General features: G+C 42.4%; 1 protein-coding gene across 6 annotated transcripts in view, besides 1 other annotated feature; it reads left to right on the forward strand.

The window, feature by feature from the left end:
• UBAC2 (UBA domain containing 2) overlaps positions 1-21,984 on the forward strand; it is a 185,651-nt gene that overhangs the window by 24,744 nt on the left and 138,923 nt on the right. For 3 of the 6 annotated variants that reach the window (NM_177967.4, XM_011521083.3, XM_011521082.3), the window contains one exon: positions 12,830-12,957. In NM_177967.4, the coding sequence (NP_808882.1) occupies positions 12,830-12,957 (128 nt within the window). Of the gene's footprint in view, positions 1-5,836; positions 5,917-12,829; positions 12,958-18,234; positions 18,355-18,917; positions 19,028-21,984 lie in introns of those variants that run through there. The other 3 variants (NR_026644.2, NM_001144072.2, XM_047430286.1) reach the window with 2 other exon arrangements.
• Positions 2,392-2,461: an enhancer, noted in NCBI's record as "active region_7932". NCBI's record gives its function as "activates an Ori minimal core promoter by ATAC-STARR-seq in GM12878 lymphoblastoid cells {active_cell/tissue: GM12878}" and the evidence as "EXISTENCE:reporter gene assay evidence [ECO:0000049][PMID:35858748]".

The following is a 21,984-nucleotide window of genomic DNA, read 5'->3' on the forward strand; positions in this document are numbered from 1 at the left end:
AGCACCTCCTTCACATCACTCCCCTTTTGTTTAACAAACACTCTTGACTGCCTTTATGTGTCAGGTCCTATTGGAGGCATGAGGGATGCTGCAACAAGGAATGTACCAGACAAAGCTGATGCCCTAAGTAAGCTTGTGTTCTAGTGGAGACTGAAGATGGGCGGATGGACAATAGACCAATAAACATATTTCCTTGATTCTAAAATGCATTAGGTCCCACGTTTTAATGATTCTAAAATTGGAACGTGCCTTGTAATTGATGACGTCTTAGAATTATATTTGGCAGCGTTTATTTTTTAGTGGCACTAAAAATAATGGTGTATCAGTTTGAATCATAGAGTTGATGGATCACTATTAAATCCACTGTTAAGTGCTATGAAAAAAGCAGGACAAAGGATAAGGTAACATTTGAGCACAGCACATGTTTAGTTGATATGTTTTCATAGCAGGACTTCATCCCTGAAGGAGGCAGTATGTTGATTCACATTTGGCACAAACTCTGACCCCACTGTGAGCTGGTAGCACTTTGCAGACTGGTTATTTTGAGTGGCACTGGTAGAGAGGAGAGAGAGACCTGGCAGGTGAAGGCTTGGGGGAGCATATTGCAAGATGGGCCCAGATCTTGTAGGTAGGAAAGACAACATGTCAGTAAACTTAGTCAGGGCCATCTCAGTAACTGCCAACAGTTCTTCCAGTTGTCCAGAACAAAACTTAATTTTATTCTTGACTTCTCCATCTGCCCATGCACCCGGTTAGTCAGCATATCCTGCCTGCAGTACCTTCACAACATATCCCAGTTTCAACCTCCCTCTTCATCTACACCTCCACCCTGCTGGTTTGAACATCCTCCTTTCTTCCCTGGATTCCCTAACAGCCTTCTAACTGGTTTACTATCTTCCACCATTGCCTTACTGTAATTTCTTCTCAATTTAGCAACCAAAGTGATCATTCAAAAACATGTCCAATCATGTTATTCCTCTACTTAGACCTCCCCAAAGCACCCTGTCACATCCAGAGGAAAGGTTAAAGTCCTCATAATGGCCTGTAGGGCTCTGGACCATTCCCCTCATCACCACTTGTTTGACGTTAGCTCCCTCCCTGTCTGCCTTGTGCTCATTCTGCTTTTGCCAGTTGGCAGCCTTATCATCTCTTAATCATGTTGAGCATGTTTTCATCTCAAAGCATGTGTACTTGCTTTTTTTTCCTCCAGAATCACCCTTCCCTCAGATATCTGCAAGGCCTACATCTTCAGGTCTCTGCTCAAATCCACATTACAAGAAGGTTTTCCCTAACCAGGTTGGATAAGACCGGCACCCCTTGGCTGGGCGCGGTGGCTCATGCCTGTAATCCCAGCACTTTGGGAGGCCAAGGAGGGTGGATCACCTGAGGCCAGGAGTTCAAGACCAGCCTGACCAACATGGAGAAACTCAGTCTCTAATAAAAATACAAAATTAGCCAGTTGTGGTGGTGCATGCCTGTAATCCCAGCTACTCGGGAGGCTGAGACAGGAGAATCGCTTGAACCCAGGAGGCAGAGGTTGCAATGAGCCGAGATTGTGCCATTGCACTCCAGCCCGGACAACAAGAGCGAAACTCCATCTCAAAAAAAAAAAAACAACAAAAAAAGACGGCACCCCTCCTTCCCCGGTTATGCTGCAGTAGCAAACAACTCTGAAATATCAGGAACCCGAGACAAGGCTTGCATCTCACTGGTGTTCCATCTCCACTGCAAGTTACCTAGGAGGGGTCCACTCCACACTGTCGTCAGCCCCGGGAGCTGGCTGATAGAGTAACCACCATCTTGCACGTTGGCAGGTGAAAAGAACAAGAATGATTCCCTGGCTCTTAAAGGGTCCTCCTGGAAGTGACATAGCTTTCATTTACTTGGCCAGAGCAAGTCACACTGCCATGCCTCACTTCATTTGGGAGTGGGGGTGGGGAGCAGTCCTACCATGTGTTTGGGAAGAGACGGGAAATATGTGGTGAATAACAAAGCCACAGGTTTTATTTTCCCTAGTTCATTTCTCATAGGATTTATTTCCATCTGACATAATGTATATCTACCTTGTTTTGTTTGTTGTTGTTTTTCTGTCCTGTCTACACTCCAAACCACAAGGCTAGGGACTTTGTCCACAGTTTATTGCTGTGCCTCAGGACCTAGAATAATGCATGGTACAGCGTGGATGCCTACTCATATTTAGAGAATGATTGAGAATACCAAAGCAAACCGTTCATTTATTCATTTGGTGCATGTGTTGGGAGTTTGGTATTCAAGTTGGGAGTGTGAATTAGGGAGGTTTGAGGAGAGAGGAAGAGATAGTGTGAGGTAAGAAGTTGTAGAGCAGATATACTAGAGAAAATCAGTGGAAATGCTGGTCAGTGGAGAGTGTCACCTTGAGACTTGAGACCAAGAATTTATGGTGAAATCTTGTAGCTCAGATGGGTGACTTTTTTGAGTCATGTTGAGTTGCTCAGAAGCTGGCAAGGAAGAGGAAGGACTGACGGGGCCCATTGCACAAGGACAGGTGGAAACCCAAGTTGAAGGAAACATGGATCAAGCTGCCCGTTGCACTTACATCACCCCTGCTCCATCTGCAGTCCTGTCAGAGTCACAAAGGAGCTTGCCTTTAATGGGGGAAGCCCGGGGTGTTGTGATGGTGCTGGTGGTAGGAGCAATATTCTCTATATTCATTCATTTTTTTTTTTTTTGATACGGAATCTCGCTTTGTTGCCCAGGCTGGAGTGCAATGGCACAATCTCGGCTCACTGCAACCTCCACCTCCTGGGTTCAAGCGATTCTCCTGCCTCAGCCTCCTGAATAGCTGGGATTACAGGCTCCCCCGCACCCCACCACGCCCGGCTAATTTTTGTATTTTTAGTAGTGACGGGGCTTCACGATGTTGGCCAGGCTAGTCTCAAACTCCTGACCTCAAGCGATCTGCCCGACTTGGCCTCTCAAAGTGCTGGGATTATAGGCATGAGCCACTGTGCCCAGCCCCTATATTTATTCTTTTATTTCATTTTCTTCTCGTAACACTTTTGAGGTAGGTTCTCATCTCCATTTTACAGGTGAGGAAAATTGAGGCTGAAATGGCTCGAGAAAGGATTTAGGTTGGTTAGGCTTATAGTCATGGTGCTCTCCTCTACTTTTGAATTACGAGGCAATGAGGAACTCGGTTAGATTTTAGATTCCGTGGAGCCTTGTTTGCATTTTGGTCATGAAGAAAGTATGCAACCACTTTACTAATGGTTCTAGTTTAGATGCTCACAAGACCTTACCAGAGAGGAAATAGTTGGGCTATTTTTATATGCTTAGACAAGTACAATAACCACAGTGTCAACTGTAACTGGTAAATTCGCCCCCAGGGAATTTCTTATGAATAAGATGAAGGTGCATCTCACAGAATCTGAGAATGTCCCCATCAGTGAGGCTTTTCTGTGATCTTGGCTGTTAATGATCTGGACGTTTCATCTGTGCAAGGGACGGTGCTAGGCTTTATGGTGGATGTAGCGAAGGGTAAGGCATGTGGCCTCCCTTCAGGAATCTTTATTGTGGTTGGGATAGCAAAACTGTACAAACCCTGGCTGCTCATAGTAGTGTGTGGGAACGAGGGTGCAGAGTGGGGGAAAAGCCCTTCAGGCTAAAATGGTTCACTCAGGCTGATGGAGGAAAGTAGAAACAACTGTAATTTGAAGGCTGCATAAGATTTAGATAAGGGAGTATCTGTGCTAATAAGGAAGGCATTGATGATATTTGGGGATTTAAGTCTGGAAAAATTTTCCAAAGGCATTGAAACAGAAAGCAACATGTTCAGGAGGTAGTGAGCTGTGCGGTTTGATTGCAGCAAAGGCTCCTGAGAACAAAGCAATGGATGTTGTGCTGGAGAGGCAGGAGGCCCAGAATGTAGGGAGGTCTGGACAACCAGGGACAGTGACTTGTCATTTGAGCTTGAAGGTCATACCAAAGTGACCACATTGCAGCCTCGTTTTAGGAAAGAGTATATACAAACACACACAGATAGTCCTTGCTTTGCAAGGTGATGCAGGACCGTAAAAATGACCGTGCAAGTTGAAACCGGGCAAAGCTATTTTAATAATCAATGGGGAAAATTTGGATTGTTCTGTGACTTTTAAAAATCTTCGTTGAAAGAATGCTTTGTTAAAACTTTAGACTTTCTCTTATAAATGTATAGTTATAAATGCATAGGGAAATGAAAAAATAGTAAAACAGTATACTGTAATTTATTAAAAACTTCAGCGACATTGAGAATTAAAGGGTTTTATTTCTTTGTAAGAAACTTACCAGGAGCAGTTTGAACAGTGTTTGCCTTCTTCCTGTTGTGTAACTTATGGGGAGTATCTATCTTAAACCTTGTGAATTGTCATACACCTTTCTGAGTTTGGCTGAGTTTCCATTATTTTATTCTCTCTGCTTTCAATGTGACAAAATATCCCTGAGAGTTTCCTTAATATGTAGATTTTTGCCAGCATCACTTCCTCAGGGACATGATAATCACTATTTTAGTGTACTGTTGCTTCTCTAACAAATTATCACAAACGTGGTGGTTTAAAACAAAAGAAATATGGCCAGGCACAGTGGCTCATGCCTGTAATCATAGCACTTTGGGAGGCTGAGGTGGGCAGATTGCCTGATCTCAGGAGTTCGAGACCAGCCTGGGCAACATGGCAAAACCCTGTCTTTACTAAAAATACAAAAACATGAGCTGGGCATGGTGGCAAGCGCCTGTAGTCCCAGCTGCTTGGGAGGCTGAGGGACGAGAATTGCTTGAACCTGGGAGGCGTCAGAGGTTGCAGTGAGCTGAGATCACGCCACTGCACTCCAGCCTGGGCAACAGAGCAAGACTCTGTCTCCTCAATAAATAAATAAATAAAACAAAATAAATTTATTATCCTACAGTTTGGAGGCCAGAAGTCCAAAATGGATCTCACTGGGATAAAATCAAGGTGTCAGCAGGGCTGCATTTCTTTTGGAAGCTCTGAGAAGGAATCTGTTTCTTCGCCTTTTGTAGCTTTCTGAGGCAGCTCACATTTCTTGACTCATGACCCAATTTTATCTTCGAAGCCAAGGGTGACTGGTGGACTCTTTCTTACACATTGTCACTCTGAAACTTACTCTCCTGCCTCCCTCTTGCACTTAAAAGGACTCTTGTGGGCCGGTTGCAGCGGCTCACGCTTGTAATCCTAGCGCTTTGGGAGGCCGAGGCGGGTGGATCATGAGGTCAGGAGTCTGAGACCAGCCTGGCCAATATGGTGAAATCCCATTTCTAGTAAAAATACAAAAATTAGCTGGATGTGGTGGCACGTGCCTGTAGTCCCAGCTACTCAGGGGGCTGAGGCAGGAGAATCGCTAAACCCGGTAGGCGGAGGTTGCAGTGAGCTGAGATTGTGCCACTGTACTCCAGCCTGGGCGACAGAGGGAGACTCCGTCTCAAAAAAAAAAGGACTCTTGTGATTGCATAGAATCCAGCTGGATATCTTAGGTAGTCTCATCTCAAGGACATCTGATTAGCAACCTCAATTCTGTCTGCAACCTTAACTCCCCCTTGCTGTGTAACCCAACATAGTCACAGGTTCTGGGGATTAGGACGTGGACCTCCTTGGGGAGCCAGTATTCTATCACAGTCACCTTCCTGTTGATAAGTTCACCTTCACTGAGTTTCTCTAGCTGCCCACCTTGAATGGTGGCAGTGTCAACATTCCTGTGGTTTGATATTTCTTTTATAACCTGATAACATTTGATTCACATTTCACTTCCAGCACTATTACTTTTTGTTGCTTTGCTGTATACATTTTTTTTTTTTTTTTTTTTTTTTGAGATGGAGTTTCTCCCTGTCGTCCAGGCTGGAGTACAATGGTGTGATCTCGGCTCACTGCAGTCTCTGTCTCCTGGGTTCAAGTGAGTCTCCCACCTCAGCCTCCCGAGTAGCTGGGACTACAGGCGTGCCACCACGCCCAGCTACTTTTTATATTTTTAGTAGAGACGGGGTTTTGCCATGTTGACCAGGCTGGTCTCAAACTCCTGACCTTAAGTGATCTACCCGTCTCGGCCTCCCAAAGTGCTGGGATTATAGATGTGAGCCACCACGCCTGGCTCTCTTTTTGTATACTTTCATGTGTATTGACTAGTTCCCTCTTTTGATGATCTATTTTTGTAAAATGTCACATGAATTTATCATTGGAAGATGAGGCAACACAACTACATACTTTACTGTCTGTGCATGAATGGAATAACAGCTGCCCAGTGACCAGTCACTGACAGACTTAGAAAGAAGTGACATACATGATTGGTTGCTGATCATAATGCACGTCTTACTGACATAATGATCTATGTACTGAAGAGCTGGTGTTGTTTTACCAAATCATGGTAACTGAAGTCTGTGCCTATCAGAGCTATGCAGAAATGAGGAACTGCCAGTGTGTGTATTTTTGTACCATGTCTACATGTGTATTTATATAGGTTAATGTGTGTTACTTGTTTTTTAAAAAAGAAAATTGGGAGTTAAGCTAGAAACTATTAGAAGTGTGTATCTATGGGAGTGGGTTTGGGGGTATGGGATAGAGGGGATAAATAACTGAAGTGAAAGTAAACCTTTGTTTTTCCTGGTTTTGGTTTTTGAACAATGTAAATATTTAACATATTCAAAAATTTTAACTGAGAAAGGAGCAAACTTTAATATTGAATGTAAACAGAAATAAACAAATCTCTGTGTTATAACCACTAGGGAAAATAATTCTTTCAAGTAGCTTTTGAACACAAGACCCTGTCCATCCTTAGTTGAGAGATATAGATATATATATATATATTCACACACACATACTCTAAGGACCAAAAGAAAAAAAAAAATCTTCAAAGGTATCTTAAACTTCGCCCAGTGGGCTTAATAAGTAGTTTATTGTTTGTAATGATACTGATACTGTAATATTAAAATTTTATGTATAACCTAGGATAAAGCAAGCAGCTAACTATTAATATTTAAGAGAGAAACGACAGAAATGCAAAGTCCTTAGGAAAAAGCACTGTAGGCCAGGCATGGTGGCTCACAGCTGTAATCCCAGCACTTTGGGAGGCCGAGGCGGGCAGATCGCTTGAGCTCAGGAGTTCAAGACCAGCCTGGGCCACATGGCAAAACCCTGTCTCTACACACACAAAAAAACAAAAACAACGAAAAAAAAACCTGGCCGGTCATGGGGCCTTGCCCCTGTAATCCCAGCTACTTGGGAGGCTGAAGCAGGAGGATTGCTTGAGCCTAGGAGGTGGAGGTTGCAGTCAGCTGAGATCACGCCACTGCACTCTAGCCTGGGCAACACAAGGAGACCCTGTCTCAAAAAAAGAAAAGAAAAATAGCACTGTAGTGTTAAATTGTTAAATTTGAATTGGAAATATCATTATGAATCATGATTTCAAAAATATATTTTCTAGCTCTGATTACTGAAAGAGCTAGAAGCATTGGGACCCAGAAAATTACAGTGAGCACATCTAATGCCCAGATTTGGTTTCTTTTTTTTTTTTTCTGAGACGAAGTCTTACTCTGTTGCCCCAGCTGGAGTGCAGTGGCGTGATCTCGGCTCACTGCAACCTCCACTACCCGGGTTCAAGTGATTCTCCTGCCTCAGCCTCCCAAGTAGCTGGGACTGCAGGCACGCACCACCATGCCCAGCTAATTTTTGTATTTTTAGTAGAGACAGGGTTTCACTATGTTGGCCAGGCTGGTCTTGAACTCCTGACCTCATGATCTGCTCTCCTCGGTCTCCCAAAGTGCTGGGATTATAGGCATGAGCCACTGCACCCGGCCTCAGATTTGGTTTCTAAAGACCATTTCCCAACATTCCCTAACAGGGATCCTTAGAGAAATTCTAGGTCTTGGGCAGGGCGGGTATAGGTGAGCCTAAAGCAAGGAAGATGAGTGGGTAGGTGGAGCAGCCAGAGCAGGCGTTGAGGGCCCTGGTTGAAAGGCCGCAGGAGCTGGTCAGAGGGCTTCCACCTGGACCATCTGAACGTTGGAAAAAGAATGCAACTGATTGTGACACATTGACTAAGTAAAAATCCATGAGTGTAGAGTGATACCGAGATACAAGGAGAATGAAGACAGAAGGCCAGCTAAGAAATAGAAAAGTAATGACAGAATTATCAAAATTATCATTATGTAAACCCTAGTGTAAGTCTTAATTGTAAACTTTTTCACGGTAAAAGGATGGGAGAAAAAAAAAGGCAGTGTTTTTGGTTCCCGATGAAGCGTAAGTATTTCATTATTTGATGGAAATCTCAGCCATGTTTTTGTAACCAAATCTGCTGGTACCACTTGAGTTCTCAAGACTAGTCTTTTGATACTATGAATATTACAGGGTTATTATTTTATTATTATTATTATTCTTATTTTCAGTTGCAAGATTTAATAGAGTGAAAACAGAGCTCCCATACAAAGGGAGGTACAGGGTTATTATATAAAGTAATTATTTCCAAGGAAAGCATGTTATTTCAGCGGTTTTCCTAGATTGAGATGCACTTTATTTTTCTGAGTCTCCATCATGGGCCGGACATTGTGCTAGCCGTTTCTTTTTTTTTTTTTTTTTTTTTTTTTTTTTGAGATGGAGTCTCACTCTGTCGCCCAGGCTGGAGTGCAGTGGCACAATCTCGGCTCACTGCAACCACCACCTTCCAGGTTCAAGCGATTCAAGTGATTCTCCCGCCTCAGCTTCCCAAGTGGGATTATAGGCGCTTGCCACCACGCCCGGGTAATTTTTTTGTATTTTTAGTAGAGATGGGGTTTCGCCATGTTGGCCAGGCTGGTCTCAAACTCCTGACCTCAGGTGATCCGCCCGCCTCAGCCTCCCAAAGTGCTGGGATTACAGGCGTGAGCCACTGCGCCCTGCCTGTGCTAGCCATTTCTACATGCATTACCTCACTTCATTCTTAGCATAACCCTGAGAATTAGGTCAGATGAAGTGACTGAAGCTCAGAGAGGTCAGATACTGTGTCCAATGACAAGCATCAGTAAGTGTGAAAATGAAGGTTCAAGGCCAAGTCTTCTGGGCCCCAGGTCCTTTCCCTTCTCATAGCTCTTGTTCTTTCCCATGGATTAGCTCAGCAAGTAGCTTCAGGGGCTTGTTTTCAGGATCTATGAGAGAGGAAGGCATGAAAACACAAAGGTGGAACCAAGGAAGACCAGAGGGAGAGAAGAGGCTACCTAGATGTCTCACAATAGTGTGCATTTTGATTAAATGACATACTTGGGGGAAATGTTCCTGAGTAGGTGAAAGCTGATATTTTGTTCTATTGGGAAAAAAAGTGAGCTTGAAGAAAACATAATTTGCTTCTTTTTTTCTCTCATATCAGAGGGAAGAGAGAAGACATTTATAGTTTCTAAAATACCCTCAGTAGTATAATTCTGTCATACTTAATATGTAAATGACTAGATCAAGGAGGAAGAGGGGCGTGACTGCTTTTAGTACAAGGCAGAGGTCACACTAGTCTCTCCTGGAAAACTGACCTGGGCTCCAGTTGTACTCATGGTGGAAAATCTCAGGGGGCCACTACAGTCAGCAGTGTTAACACTTTTAGCCTCTTTTAATTTTTTAAAAACAAAACACCCAGGAATCAATTAACCAAAGATGTGCAATATATGTGCAAGGAAAACTATCAAACACTGATGAAAGAACTTGAAGAGGACATAAAAAAATGAAAGGGTATTCCATGCTTATGGTTTGGAAGAATCAGTATTGTTAAAATGGCAATACTACCCAAAGCAATTTACAGATTCAATGCAATCCTCTCAAAATATCAATGACATTCTTCACAGAAATAGAAAAAAAAATCCTAAGATTTATATGGAAACACAAAAGATTCTGAGTAGCCAAAATAATCCTGAGCAAAAAGAACAAGGTGAAGTATCATACTGCCTGACTTCAAAATATACTACAGAGTAACCAAATCAGCAGGATACTCACATAAAAACAGACACATAGACCAGTGGAGCAGATTAGAAGACCAAGATACAAATCCATGCATTTGCAGCCAAAAAAGGTGGCAAGAACATACAATGGAGAAACGACAGTCCCTTCAAAAAAATTGTGCTGGGGCCGGGTGCAGTGGCTCATGCCTATCATCCTAACCCTTTGGGAGGCTGAGGCGAGAGGATCACTTGAGGCTAGGAGTTTGAGACCAGCCTGATCAACATGGCAAGACTATTTCTCCAAAAAAAAATTAGCCAGGTGTGGTGGCTTGTGCCTGTAGTCCCAGCTACTAGGGAGGCTGAGGTGGGAGGATCACTTGAGCCCAGGAGTTCAAGGCTGCAGTGAGCTGTGATCATGCTGCTGGACTCCAGCTTGGGCAATAGAGTGAGACCCTGTCTCAAAAAAAAAATTGTGCTGGTAAAACGGGTTAACCATATGCACAAAAATGAAAGACCCATATTTCTTACTATACATAAAAATCAAATCGAAATGGATTAAAGACTTAAGTCTAAGACCTGAAACTATGAAACTACTAGCAGAAAATGTTGGAGAAATGCTCCAGGACGTTGGTCTGGGCAAAGACTTTTTGTGTAAGATCTCAAAAGCACAGACAGCCAAAGGAAAAATAGACAAGTGGGATTAAATCAAACTAAAAAGCTCCAGTTGCACAGCAAAAGAAACAGTCAACAAAGAGATAACCCACAGAATGGGAGAAAATACTTGCAATACTTGCAGATTAATCCATCTGACAAGGGATTAGTAACCAGAATTTGTAAGGAGCTCAAACAACTCAATAGCAAAAACCCAAATAGTCCATTTTAAAAGTGGGCAAAAGATCTGAATAGACATTCTCAAAAGAAGACATACAAATGGCCAACAGGCATATGAAAATGTGCTCAACATTATTGATCATCAGAGAAATGCAAATCAAAACCACAATGAGATACTTCACCCGAGTTAGAATGGCTTTTATCAAAAAGACAGGAATAACAGAGGCTGGCTGCTGGGCACGGTGGCTCATGCCTGTAATCCTAGTACTTTGGGAGGCCGAGGTGGGTATCACCTGAGGTCAGGAGTTCAAGACCAGCCTGGCCAACTTGGTGAAACCCCGTCTCTACTAAAAATACAGAAATTAGCTGGGCATGGTGGTGGGTGCCTGTAATCCCAGGTACTTGGTAGGCTGAGGCAGGAGAATCACTTGAATCCGGGGGGCAGAGGTTGCAGTGAGCCGAGATGGCACCACTTCACTCCAGCCTGGGCGAAAGAGCAAAACTCTGTCTCAAAAACGGCAACAACTACCAAACAAAACAGAGGCTGGCCAGGATGTGGAGAAAGGAGAACCCTGGTACACTGTTGGTGGGAATGTAAATTAGTACAGTCACGATGGAAAACAGTATGGAGGTTCTTAAAAAAAAAAAATAAAACTACCATATGATCCACTACTGGATATATATTCAAAAGAAAGGAAATCAGTATTTCAAGGACATATCTGCACTTCCATGCTTATTGCAGCACTATTCACAATAGCCAAAATGTGGAATCAACTGAAGTGTCCATCAATGCAGATGTGAGCCATCAGGCCCGGCCTTCTTTGTTGTATACTTCCATCTTTATTGACTAGTTCCCTCTTTTGAGTTTCCAATGAATGGGAAAAAAATGGATGATAGATAAAGAAAATTTTATGCGTATATATATATATATATACACACACACACACACACACACACACAGTGGAATATTATTCAGCTATAAAAAGAATGAAATCCTGTCATTTGCAGCCACATGGATGGAACTAGAAGACATGTAAGTGAAATAAGAACAAAAAGACAAAGATTGCATGTTCTCACACGTGGAAGCTAAAATAGTGGATCTCATGAAGACAGAGAGTAGGTTGGTGGTTATCAGAGGCTGGGAAGGGTAGGAGGGAGAGGGGGATAAAAAGAGGTTGATTAATGGGTACAAATATACACTTAGAAGAAATAAGACGGTGTTCAGTAGGTCAGGAGCGTGTCTGTAGTTGACACTAATCTATCGTACGTTTCAAAATAGCTAGAAGAGAATAATTCAGCCTAAAGAAAAGAGAGATATTTAAGATAATTACCCGGGCTGGGTGCCGTGGCCCATGCCTGTAATCCCAGCACTTTGGGAGGCCAAGGCAGAAGGATCGCTTGAGCCCAGGAGTTTGAGACCAGTCTGGCCAACATGGTGAAACATGGTCTCTACTAAGAATACAAAAATTAGCCAGGCATGGTGGCACGTGCCTGTAATCCCAGCTACTCAGGAGGCTGAGGCAGGAGAATCGCTTGAACCTGGGAGGTGGAGGTTGCAGTGAGCCGAGATTGCGCCACTGCACTCCAGTTTGGGCGACAAAGTGAGACTCTCTCTGGATATGATTATATGAATGTATCAGATTATCATATGTACTCCCAAAATGTGTTCCCTAATATGTATCAATTAAAAAATGAAATTAAAAATGTATTTTTATATATGTATGAGTTTTGTGCATGCTCAGGAGCTAACTGGCTGATTTGATAGAAACACACTTCTCTATTTCTTTACACTTGGGTAGCCATTTTCTGAAAGGTGTTCTATGGAAGTTCTGGCTGTAAACTTGGTCTCATTTAAGAGCCAACTGGCAATGAAGCCCTGCTAGGGCATTCTGCTTGTTTCCAGTGTCTTTTGATCACTTACATCCCCAGGTCGATGTTTTGAAAGTGGATATTAGAACCAAATTTCAGAGTTTCTGGACTTTGTCTTCATTCTGATTTAAAAGAAGTGAATTCTCTTGCTTTTCACGCATGTGGTTTTTTAAATCTTAGGAACAATCATTCTGAAAGTGCTTTCCTTTTTCCCTCCAGACAAGGCGCCTCTGTCGAAGAGCCTTCTGCTGGTCCCCAGTGCCCTCTCCCTCCTGCTCGCCCTCCTCCTGCCTCACTGCCAGAAGCTCTTTGTGTATGACCTTCACGCAGTCAAGAACGACTTCCAGGTAAGCTCTGCCTCATTGGCCCCTGAGAGGAGAGCGGACAGTTTTTTTTTTTTCTTTCTAGATTTGCTTTTTCTTCCTGCTGTTAGTCCCTCAAAGCCCCCAATTTGTAAGAAATATTTATTATTAATATTTCATTAAGTAACTTTTCTAGTTATTGATTTTTCAGCAAAACAGATAATAATGAAGCAATGGCAGTATTTCCTTTTATTAGGCACATTTGTTTTCAGTTTCACTTTTTACTCAGAGAAGTGTAATTTATAACTTCAAGGGAATTAAAAACAATGTTTAATCTTTTTTTAATGCCCAGTAGGCATACTTAGCTTTGCCAAAACCTTGTCTCAATTTGAATATTTGATTAGAGGAGCTAGGCTCTGTCAGCTGTATCAGATTATGAATTTTTGATAACTTTTACAGTGGTGGTTAAACGAAGTAAGAAATTTCTCTTGAGTTTCTGCTGTGGGAAAGAGCAGAAGTGCTTTTCAAGGTTTCTGGACTGATCTTGTTGAAAATGCTAGTACTGGGTTCTTGTCTATGAATTGGAGTGTTCATGCAAATTCTGGTATATGACTGCTACCCTTTCTTTGCTAAGCACTTGGTTAGCCCATTTTAAGCATAATAATCCATTTCTTGAACACTGACACCTTTTCTTCATAGTGATATAATTAATACCATTGCTCAGATTGGCTTCACCAACTTACTGTGCAGGTCTTTTAGTTATTTATCCGTATTACTGATTTGTCAGAAGATAGTGTAGCTTCTGTATTATTTCAGTTGCTATAATGCAGTCCTTCTCAACCCCGGACACACATTAGAATCACCTGAAAAAACTTCAAAGATCTGTCTCCATATCTATACTTACGTGAAGGTATAATTTATACCTAGATTTATATAAACACAGTATCTCGCCCCAGAACAACTGAGTCACAGAGTCTGGTGGTGGCGCCTGGGCATTGCTGTACATTTAAAAACAACCCCTAGGGGATTCTAGTGTATGGCTGGCTTTGAGGACCACTAATGTAAGGGCCCCCGGGCCTTGGGTTGATACCTTCCTAATTTCTGGAGTTAATTTGGTTCGTTTGGCTAAGCCCACTCTGTGGGCATCTGTGCTTTAAAGGTGGTGACCTGCTTGGATGGAAGAAGACCACTCTTCTGTCCAGGAATGGGAATAGCCACATCCAGATTAACACTTAAAACACCTAAGAGGCTCTCAGTGTGTATTCATGAGAGATATGGGAGTTGCAGTTCTGCCTTGGGAAATCTAAACACACGCATACACATAAGAACGTGATCTGTAGGTCACAGGTGTACATGACATCCTTGGGGGGTGATCAAGGAAATAGGGACCAGTATTGGGGGCCTACCTCTGGAGAGTCTTAGGGGTGTGAGCCTTCAGTTTGGTCCAAAAAGAAGGGATGACTGTTAATTAGCAATGAAGAGAGGGAAGGGCATTTTACTTCAGGAAGTAACATGAATTTCAGACCCTTAGGAGTGTGGTACAGGAAGCGTGCTTTGAGGCAAACCCAGGCTTAGATTGGAGAAGTCCAGGAGGGCTCAGTTGATGAAGGGCTTTATTTTGTAAGTTCTGAACCTCCAGATTTTGGCAGTGAATGCAGAGGTACAGTCAGTTTTCTTTAGGTTGAGTTGCAGAAGCAGTGCTTTGCTGAGTGCAAGCCGGTAGCCAGTTACCAGTCTTTAGGGGACATTCACCTGTATAATAATATGCAGTGGTTTATTCTTATACCAGCTCTCATAGTTTTGTGTCCTTGAGTATGATTGCAACACATAAATTATTTAAAACTGTAGCTAGCAGCTTTATTTTCATTAACTGAAAAAATGGGGTTCTAGAAATGCAGTTTGTTATATCTTAGTAATTACAAACTCTCCATTTCCTTAATCCTCAGATTTTCTTAGTGGCTCTCAGAGCTTATCCCTGAGTAGAGTATTTTCATTGTAATATTAAATGTGGGGATAGAGGACTTGGAGCTGCCTCTTATGGTTTTTGAATCTGGTGTTCTGAGGAGATGACAGTCATCATCATCGGACATTGGTAAAGTCCTTGGCAGTTTCCTATGTGCTCTCGTGTACTGCCTCATTGATCATATTGATGGAGGTATATGCTGCCTAAAGTTTCAGTGTGACTCCGGTACTGTTTCTCCTTGAGCCCAGCTATGGCCTCAACACAGCCTTAGAGGCAGCCATCCCAGTTCAGCTGGGCTGGCAGGTGAGGTGAACTCTGGTGGCCAGTACAGTCATGACAAAGACTCTGCCTGGTGTCTTGCTTGGAGTAGAGACATATGTGACAGGTTTTGACAGTTGATATGCTCAGACTTCTCATTTGTATTCTTATTTCTGTTGGCAAGAGCACAGGTTGTATGACTTTACAAACTTTAGTTTCTCTGTGCCTCTTTTTCCTTAAGACAGTTGGCTGGGTGTGGTGGCTCACACCTGTCATTTCAGCACCTTGGGAGGCCAACGTTTGTGGATGGATTGCTTGAGCCCAGGAGTTCAAGACCAGCCTGGGCAACATGGCAAAACACCATCTCTACAAAAAATACAAAAATTAGACGGGTGTGGTGGTGCACACCTGTAGTCCCAGCTACTCAGGAGGCTGAGCTGCGAGTATTGATTCAGTCTCAGAGGGTTGAGCCTGCAGTGAGATGTGATCACATCACTGCACTACAGCCTGGGCAACAGAGTGAGACCCTGTCTCAAAAAAAAAAAAAAAAAAAGAAAAGAGTTACTATTACCAATGTTCGCAGCAGCATTATTCACAATAGCAAAAAGGCAGAAACCCAAATGTCTATTAACAGATACATGGATAAACAAAATGTGGTGTATACATACCATAGAATATTATTCAACTATAAATGAGAATGAGATTGATACATGCTTTACCATGAACCTTGAAAATATTATGCAAAGTGAAATGAGCAAATGCAAAAGGACAAATAAATGATCTTACTTACATGAGGTATCTAATATAAGCAAATTCATAGAGACATTAAGTAGAATAGTGTTTCCTGGGGCTAAGGGGAGAGGGAACAGGAAGTTAGCATGGCATTTCTGTCTAGGATGATGAAGAGTTCTGGAAATAGATAGTGGTGATGGGTGTACAATATTGTGAATTTGCTTAATACCACTGAATTGTATACTCAATAGTTAAAATTTTAACTTTTTTTTTTTTTCAACTTTTTTTTTTTTTATTGATCATTCTTGGGTGTTTCTCGCACAGGGGGATTTGGCAGGGTCATAGGACAATAGTGGAGGGAAGGTCAGCAGATAAACAAGTGAACAAAGGTCTCTGGTTTTCCTAGGCAGAGGACCCTGCGGCCTTCCGCAGTGTTTGTGTCCCTGGGTACTTGAGATTAGGGAGTGGTGATGACTCTTAAGGAGCATGCTGCCTTCAAGCATCTGTTTAACAAAGCACATCTTGCACCGCCCTTAATCCATTTAACCCTGAGTGGACACAGCACATGTTTCAGAGAGCACAGGGTTGGGGGTAAGGTCACAGATCAACAGGATCCCAAGGCAGAAGAATTTTTCTTAGTACAGAACAAAATGAAAAGTCTCCCATGTCTACTTCTTTCTACACAGAGACGGCAACCATCCGATTTCTCAATCTTTTCCCCACCTTTCCCCCCCTTCTATTCCACAAAACCGCCATTGTCATCATGGCCCGTTCTCAATGAGCTGCTGGGCACACCTCCCAGACGGGGTGGTGGCCGGGCAGAGGTGCCCCTCACCTCCCGGACGGGGCGGCTGGCCGGGCGGGGGGCTGACCCCCCCACCTCCCTCCCGGACGGGGCGGCTGTCCGGGCAGAGGGGCTCCTCACTTCCCAGTAGGGGCGGCCGGGCAGAGGCGCCCCTCACCTCCCAGACGGGGCGGCTGGCCGGGCGGGGGGCTGACCCCCCCACCTCCCTCCCCGACGGGGCGGCTGGCCGGGCGGGGGGCTGCCCCCCCCACCTCCCTCCCGGACGGGGCGGCTGTCCGGGCAGAGGGGCTCCTCACTTCCCAGTAGGGGCGGCCGGGCAGAGGCGCCCCTCACCTCCCAGACGGGGTGGCTGGCCAGGCGGGGGGCTGACCCCCCCACCTCCCTCCCGGACGGGGCGGCTGGCCGGGCGGGGGGCTGACCCCCCCCACCTCCCTCCCCGACGGGGCGGCTGGCCTGGCCGGGGCTGACCCCCACCTCTCTCCCGGACGGGGTGGCTGCCGGGCGGAGACGCTCCTCACTTCCCAGACGGGGTGGCTGCCGGGCGGAGGGGCTCCTCACTTCTCAGACGGGGCGGCCGGGCAGAGACGCTCCTCACCTCCCAGACGGGGCGGCGGGGCAGAGGTGCTCCCCACATCTCAGACGATGGGCGGCCGGGTAGAGACGCTCCTCACTTCCTAGATGGGATGGCGGCCGGGAAGAGGCGCTCCTCACTTCCTAGATGGGATGGCGGCCGGGCAGAGACGCTCCTCACTTTCCAGACTGGGCAGCCAGCAAAATTTTAACTTTTATATCTGTTTTACCACAATAAAAATACAAAGAAAAGTTGGAATTAATATTTGTTTTACCTATCTCATAAGGTCATTGTGAAGGGGAAATAAGATTAGGATGTTTGAGATGTCATTGGGATTATCTTTAAAAATCTGAAAAATGTTTAAGCAGACTCAAAAATAGGCCTTTGAGTAGCTCTTTTTTTTTTTTTTTTTTTTTTGTATGTCCCCTTATATGTTTTTTATGCAGCCAGAAGTTGGGTGAAACAATGATTTAAATAAACTAATATTTCAAACCTAGTCATATTTAGCAGCAGTTGCCATAAATTACTTTGCATAGTTGCTATGAAGTAAGTTGATGATTAAAATTAAGCTCAGAAATGCATATTTTTGAGTTTATACCTAAGTTGTTTTTCAGTTACAACTTTGTCTTATTCAATAACATAAAAATGAACATTTGTTAGCCTTTCATTCTAGTTTACGTATATAATTTTAAAAAATCTTACTAAACGTGATCCTGAAATTTCTTATAGGCAGTTTTCTGTTATCTTAATGAGAATATGTTTTCTTATAAGCACAAAAAAATTCAAGTACCTTTCGTGCCACTGTTGGGAGGAATTTTTACTATGAGAGACTTGAGCTCAGAGAACATACATATATAGTTTTCCTTTGGTGTGTGCATTATGATTTTGTTTAGGACATTAAAAATAGGCAGTGTAAACATAACAAATTTGCTAAGGAAGAGACCCGAACAAATTTTACTCTTGTTTATTGTTCTTTTTTAAATCCCCATCTAGATTTGGAGGTTGATATGTGGAAGAATAATTTGCCTTGATTTGAAAGATACTTTCTGCAGTAGTCTGCTTATTTATAATTTTAGGATATTTGAAAGAAGATATGGAAGCAGAAAATTTGCAGTAAGTTTTTATGTATTTTGTCTTTGCTACTTAGGCTGTAGAAAAAAATTTTGTTTAAATGGATTTTATTTTGTTAAACTTGGTGTTGTTATTTACAGTTATCTTTTTAATTACACTATTCTGTATCTGATTTGAGGCACATGGACATTAACCAAAGAAAATTTTAAAATGTAAGACATTAGCATAATAATAATAGTGATAATGATAATATGTAGTATTAGTTGTGAACACTAATACAAATTTTAATACTTTGACTTTAATAAAATTATAATTTATTTTGCTTAGTGGTTTGTGTTTTACTTGTTAAAAATATATCTTCAACATACTTAAAAATTATGGCTGTTAATACATTTGAGCAATATGGGTTTACCCCGCCCATTTTCTAAAGTCTATTTTAATAAAAACAAATAATTTCAAATATATATACACACATATGCATGTGTGTATATACACACACACACATACATATGAATACACACCTCTGAGCTGATTCTAGCTGAATAAATGTTAGTTTATTTTTAGGAGACTCATCTCTATCATTTTTCTGCTGTTTTATTTTGTAGTCCTTTTTGCTGGGTTCCTGGGTTTTGTCAGCCTTATTTGACTTTCTCCTCATTGAAGCTATGCAGTATTTCTTTGGCATCACTGCAGCTAGTAATTTGCCTTCTGGATTGTAAGTAGCACTTAAAGATTGACTTAATTTAGAACTACTTGAATCTGATTTAAAGTGTTATTATTATTATGTGAAAGTCAGTAAAATAATATTTTAAACTTCTAGATATAGTTAAATTGATTTTATATGTAAAAAGTCTAATCTATGCCTACATTTTTATTATGTTCTTGAAATAGAATCAATTTTATATTCTTTCTTTAAAATTTATTTTACTTTTTTTTTTTTTGAGACGGAGTCTCGCTCTGTCACCCAGGCTGGAGTGCATTGGCACGATCTCGGCTCACTACAACCTCCGCCTCCCGGGTTCAAGCGATTCTCCTGCCTCAGCCTCCCAAGTAGCTGGGACTACAGGCACGTGCCACCATGCCTGGCTAATTTTTGTATTTTTTAGTAGAGACAGGGTTTCACCATGTTGGCCAGGCTGGTCTTGAACTCCTGACCTCAGGTGATCCACCCGCCTCGGCCTCCCAAAGTGCTTGAGCCACTGTGTGAGCCACCTTGCCCAGGCACCTTCTTTTTTTAGCTTTGAAAGTTTGTGTTTTAGAGAATTTTAAGTGAATTTCCTATTCTGATCCTGATAGAATTAGTTTTGTGTGTTTTTATAGTGAAATTTGTCTTTGTAATTTTATGAACTAAACACAAAAATATAGTTTAATTAGATTAGGAAACAAAATTAATTTGTACGAAGTTAAGCTTCTGAAGAATAATTTTTTAAAAGCTGATAATGTTTAAACACTTCCATCAAACATAAAACAAAGCCGGTGTATAGGTTATAACTTTGTAGACAACCTGCCGTGGCCAACCCCACTCAGAATTTGTATGCTTTCATATTGCGTTGATCTTCTTTAAAAAAAACAAAAACCATGTATTAGTGTGTGAAATAACTAGAATCTAGGAGTAGAGTTGACAGAACGAGACTCCATCTCAAACAAACAAACAAAAAAACAGGCCGGGCGCGGTGGCTCATGCCACCTTTGGGAGGCCGAGGTGGGCGGATCACGAGGTCAGGAGTTCAAGACCAGCCTGGTCAATATGGTGAAACCCCATCTCTACTAGAAATACAAAAATTAGTTGGGCGTGGTGGCACGTAGTCCCAGCTGCTCAGGAGGCTGAGGCAGAAGAATCACTTGAACCCGGGAGGCAGAGGTTGCAGTGAGCGGAGATCGCTCCACTGCACTTCAGCCTGGGTGACAGAGTGAGACTCCGCCTCAAAAAACAAACAAAATACCCCCAAAAAACCATGTATTAGTGTGTGAAATAATTAGAATCTAGGAGCAGAGTTGTTAGCACATGTAAATGACCTCCAAGCATCTGAATGAAGTATCTGAGACACTATTTGGGAAATGAGATAGTATGAAATATAGATACCAGATATTTAAAATTCTGTGTGTACTATCTTCAGTCTCCTTTTAATTTTAAATATATGTTTTGAGAACTATTAAGCTACTGTATGTATCTTGATTCAAATTCACTTTGGATCCCTATTTTAAAATTATAGTTAGTGTTCTAATAGCTTTCGTACCTGCATTGTTAATGTTTACAGTGTAGCTGCCTTTTGTGAATTATAGTTGGTGTGAATATCCATGAATGTTGACCTTTAGCTCTTTTAATAATGTATGATTCTGAATAATGTTTGAATGGAGGCATAAAGTTCTGTGTCATAATTAGCATGCAGTTTGAATTCCACAGGTGGTCATTGTAATTAGACTGAGAAGTTAAAGTTGAGTATTCTGTTATTGGGGAAAATAGTGTAGTCATCAGGAATGATTCCACATTGACTCAGGAAAGCAGCAGCATTGCCAAATCATCAGTTTTCCCCAAAACATCTCCTATCAGGCCAGTTCTTTTTGGTTCCTGTATAGCCTACTGAGTGATGGGAGGTATGTGTGTCTGTGTTAGAATGAACTTTGGAGATGGATAGTAACTTAGCATTATTCTTATTTACACTGTCTCCTTGTCTTCTTTTTCCTGCTGCACATGGAATCGAATGACAGTAGAACTTTCATATTCATTTATTTAATTTTGGAATCCCATTAACTAGTACATAAAAAGATTGATTCAATTTTGAAGTTGGTGGGAATACTTTTGCTTACTCTCAGAAGAGGGAAGGGATTTACCTATTTAAATCTCAGTTTGTAGCAAGAGTTACAAACTTGAATAAATTGAAAAGTTGTAGCATCCCCTTTGAAAGACACTATAAATGTTAATTCAGCCATCTCCTGAATGAAAATATATTTCTCTTCCTTTTCAAGTCACAAAACATTATATAGTATGACTTTTTTAAATCTTCAGGCTTTCTCAAACATAGACTTTTTGGAACACAATTAGTTCAACAAGTAAACTTTGTGTAATGTAAATATATCTCTTAAAAACATTTTTATTATTATTTTTGGTAGAGAAAAGGTTTTGCTATGTTGTCTAGGCTGGTCTTGAATTCCTGGGCTCAAGTGATCCTCCTTTCTTGGCCTCCCAAAGTGCTGGAATTGCAGGTGTGAGCCACTGCACCCAGCCACAAATATATCTTTTATTGATGGTAGCAAAGCTTCAAAAACTAAAGAGAGAAAACTACTGTTTTTTTTTTTTTGTTTTGTTTTGTTTTGTTTTTCTTGAGACGGAGTCTCGCTCTGTCGCCCAGGCTGGAGTGCAGTGGCGCGATCTCGGCTCACTGCAAGCTCCGCCTCCCCGGTTCACGCCATTCTCCTGCCTCAGCCTCCCGAGTAGCTGGGACTACAGGCGCCCGCTACCACGCCCGGCTAATTTTTTGTATTTTTAGTAGAGACGGGGTTTCACCGTGTTAGCCAGGATGGTCTCGATCTCCTGACCTCGTGATCCGCCCGCCTCGGCCTCCCAAAGTGCTGGGATTACAGGCGTGAGCCACCGCGCCCGGCCTGTGTTGTTTTTTTTTAAATCAATGTACTTCATGGACACAGGGAGGGGAACGTCACACACTGGGGCTG

Source organism: Homo sapiens, chromosome 13 (assembly GCF_000001405.40).
Source record: "Homo sapiens chromosome 13, GRCh38.p14 Primary Assembly".
NCBI lineage: Eukaryota > Metazoa > Chordata > Mammalia > Primates > Hominidae > Homo > Homo sapiens.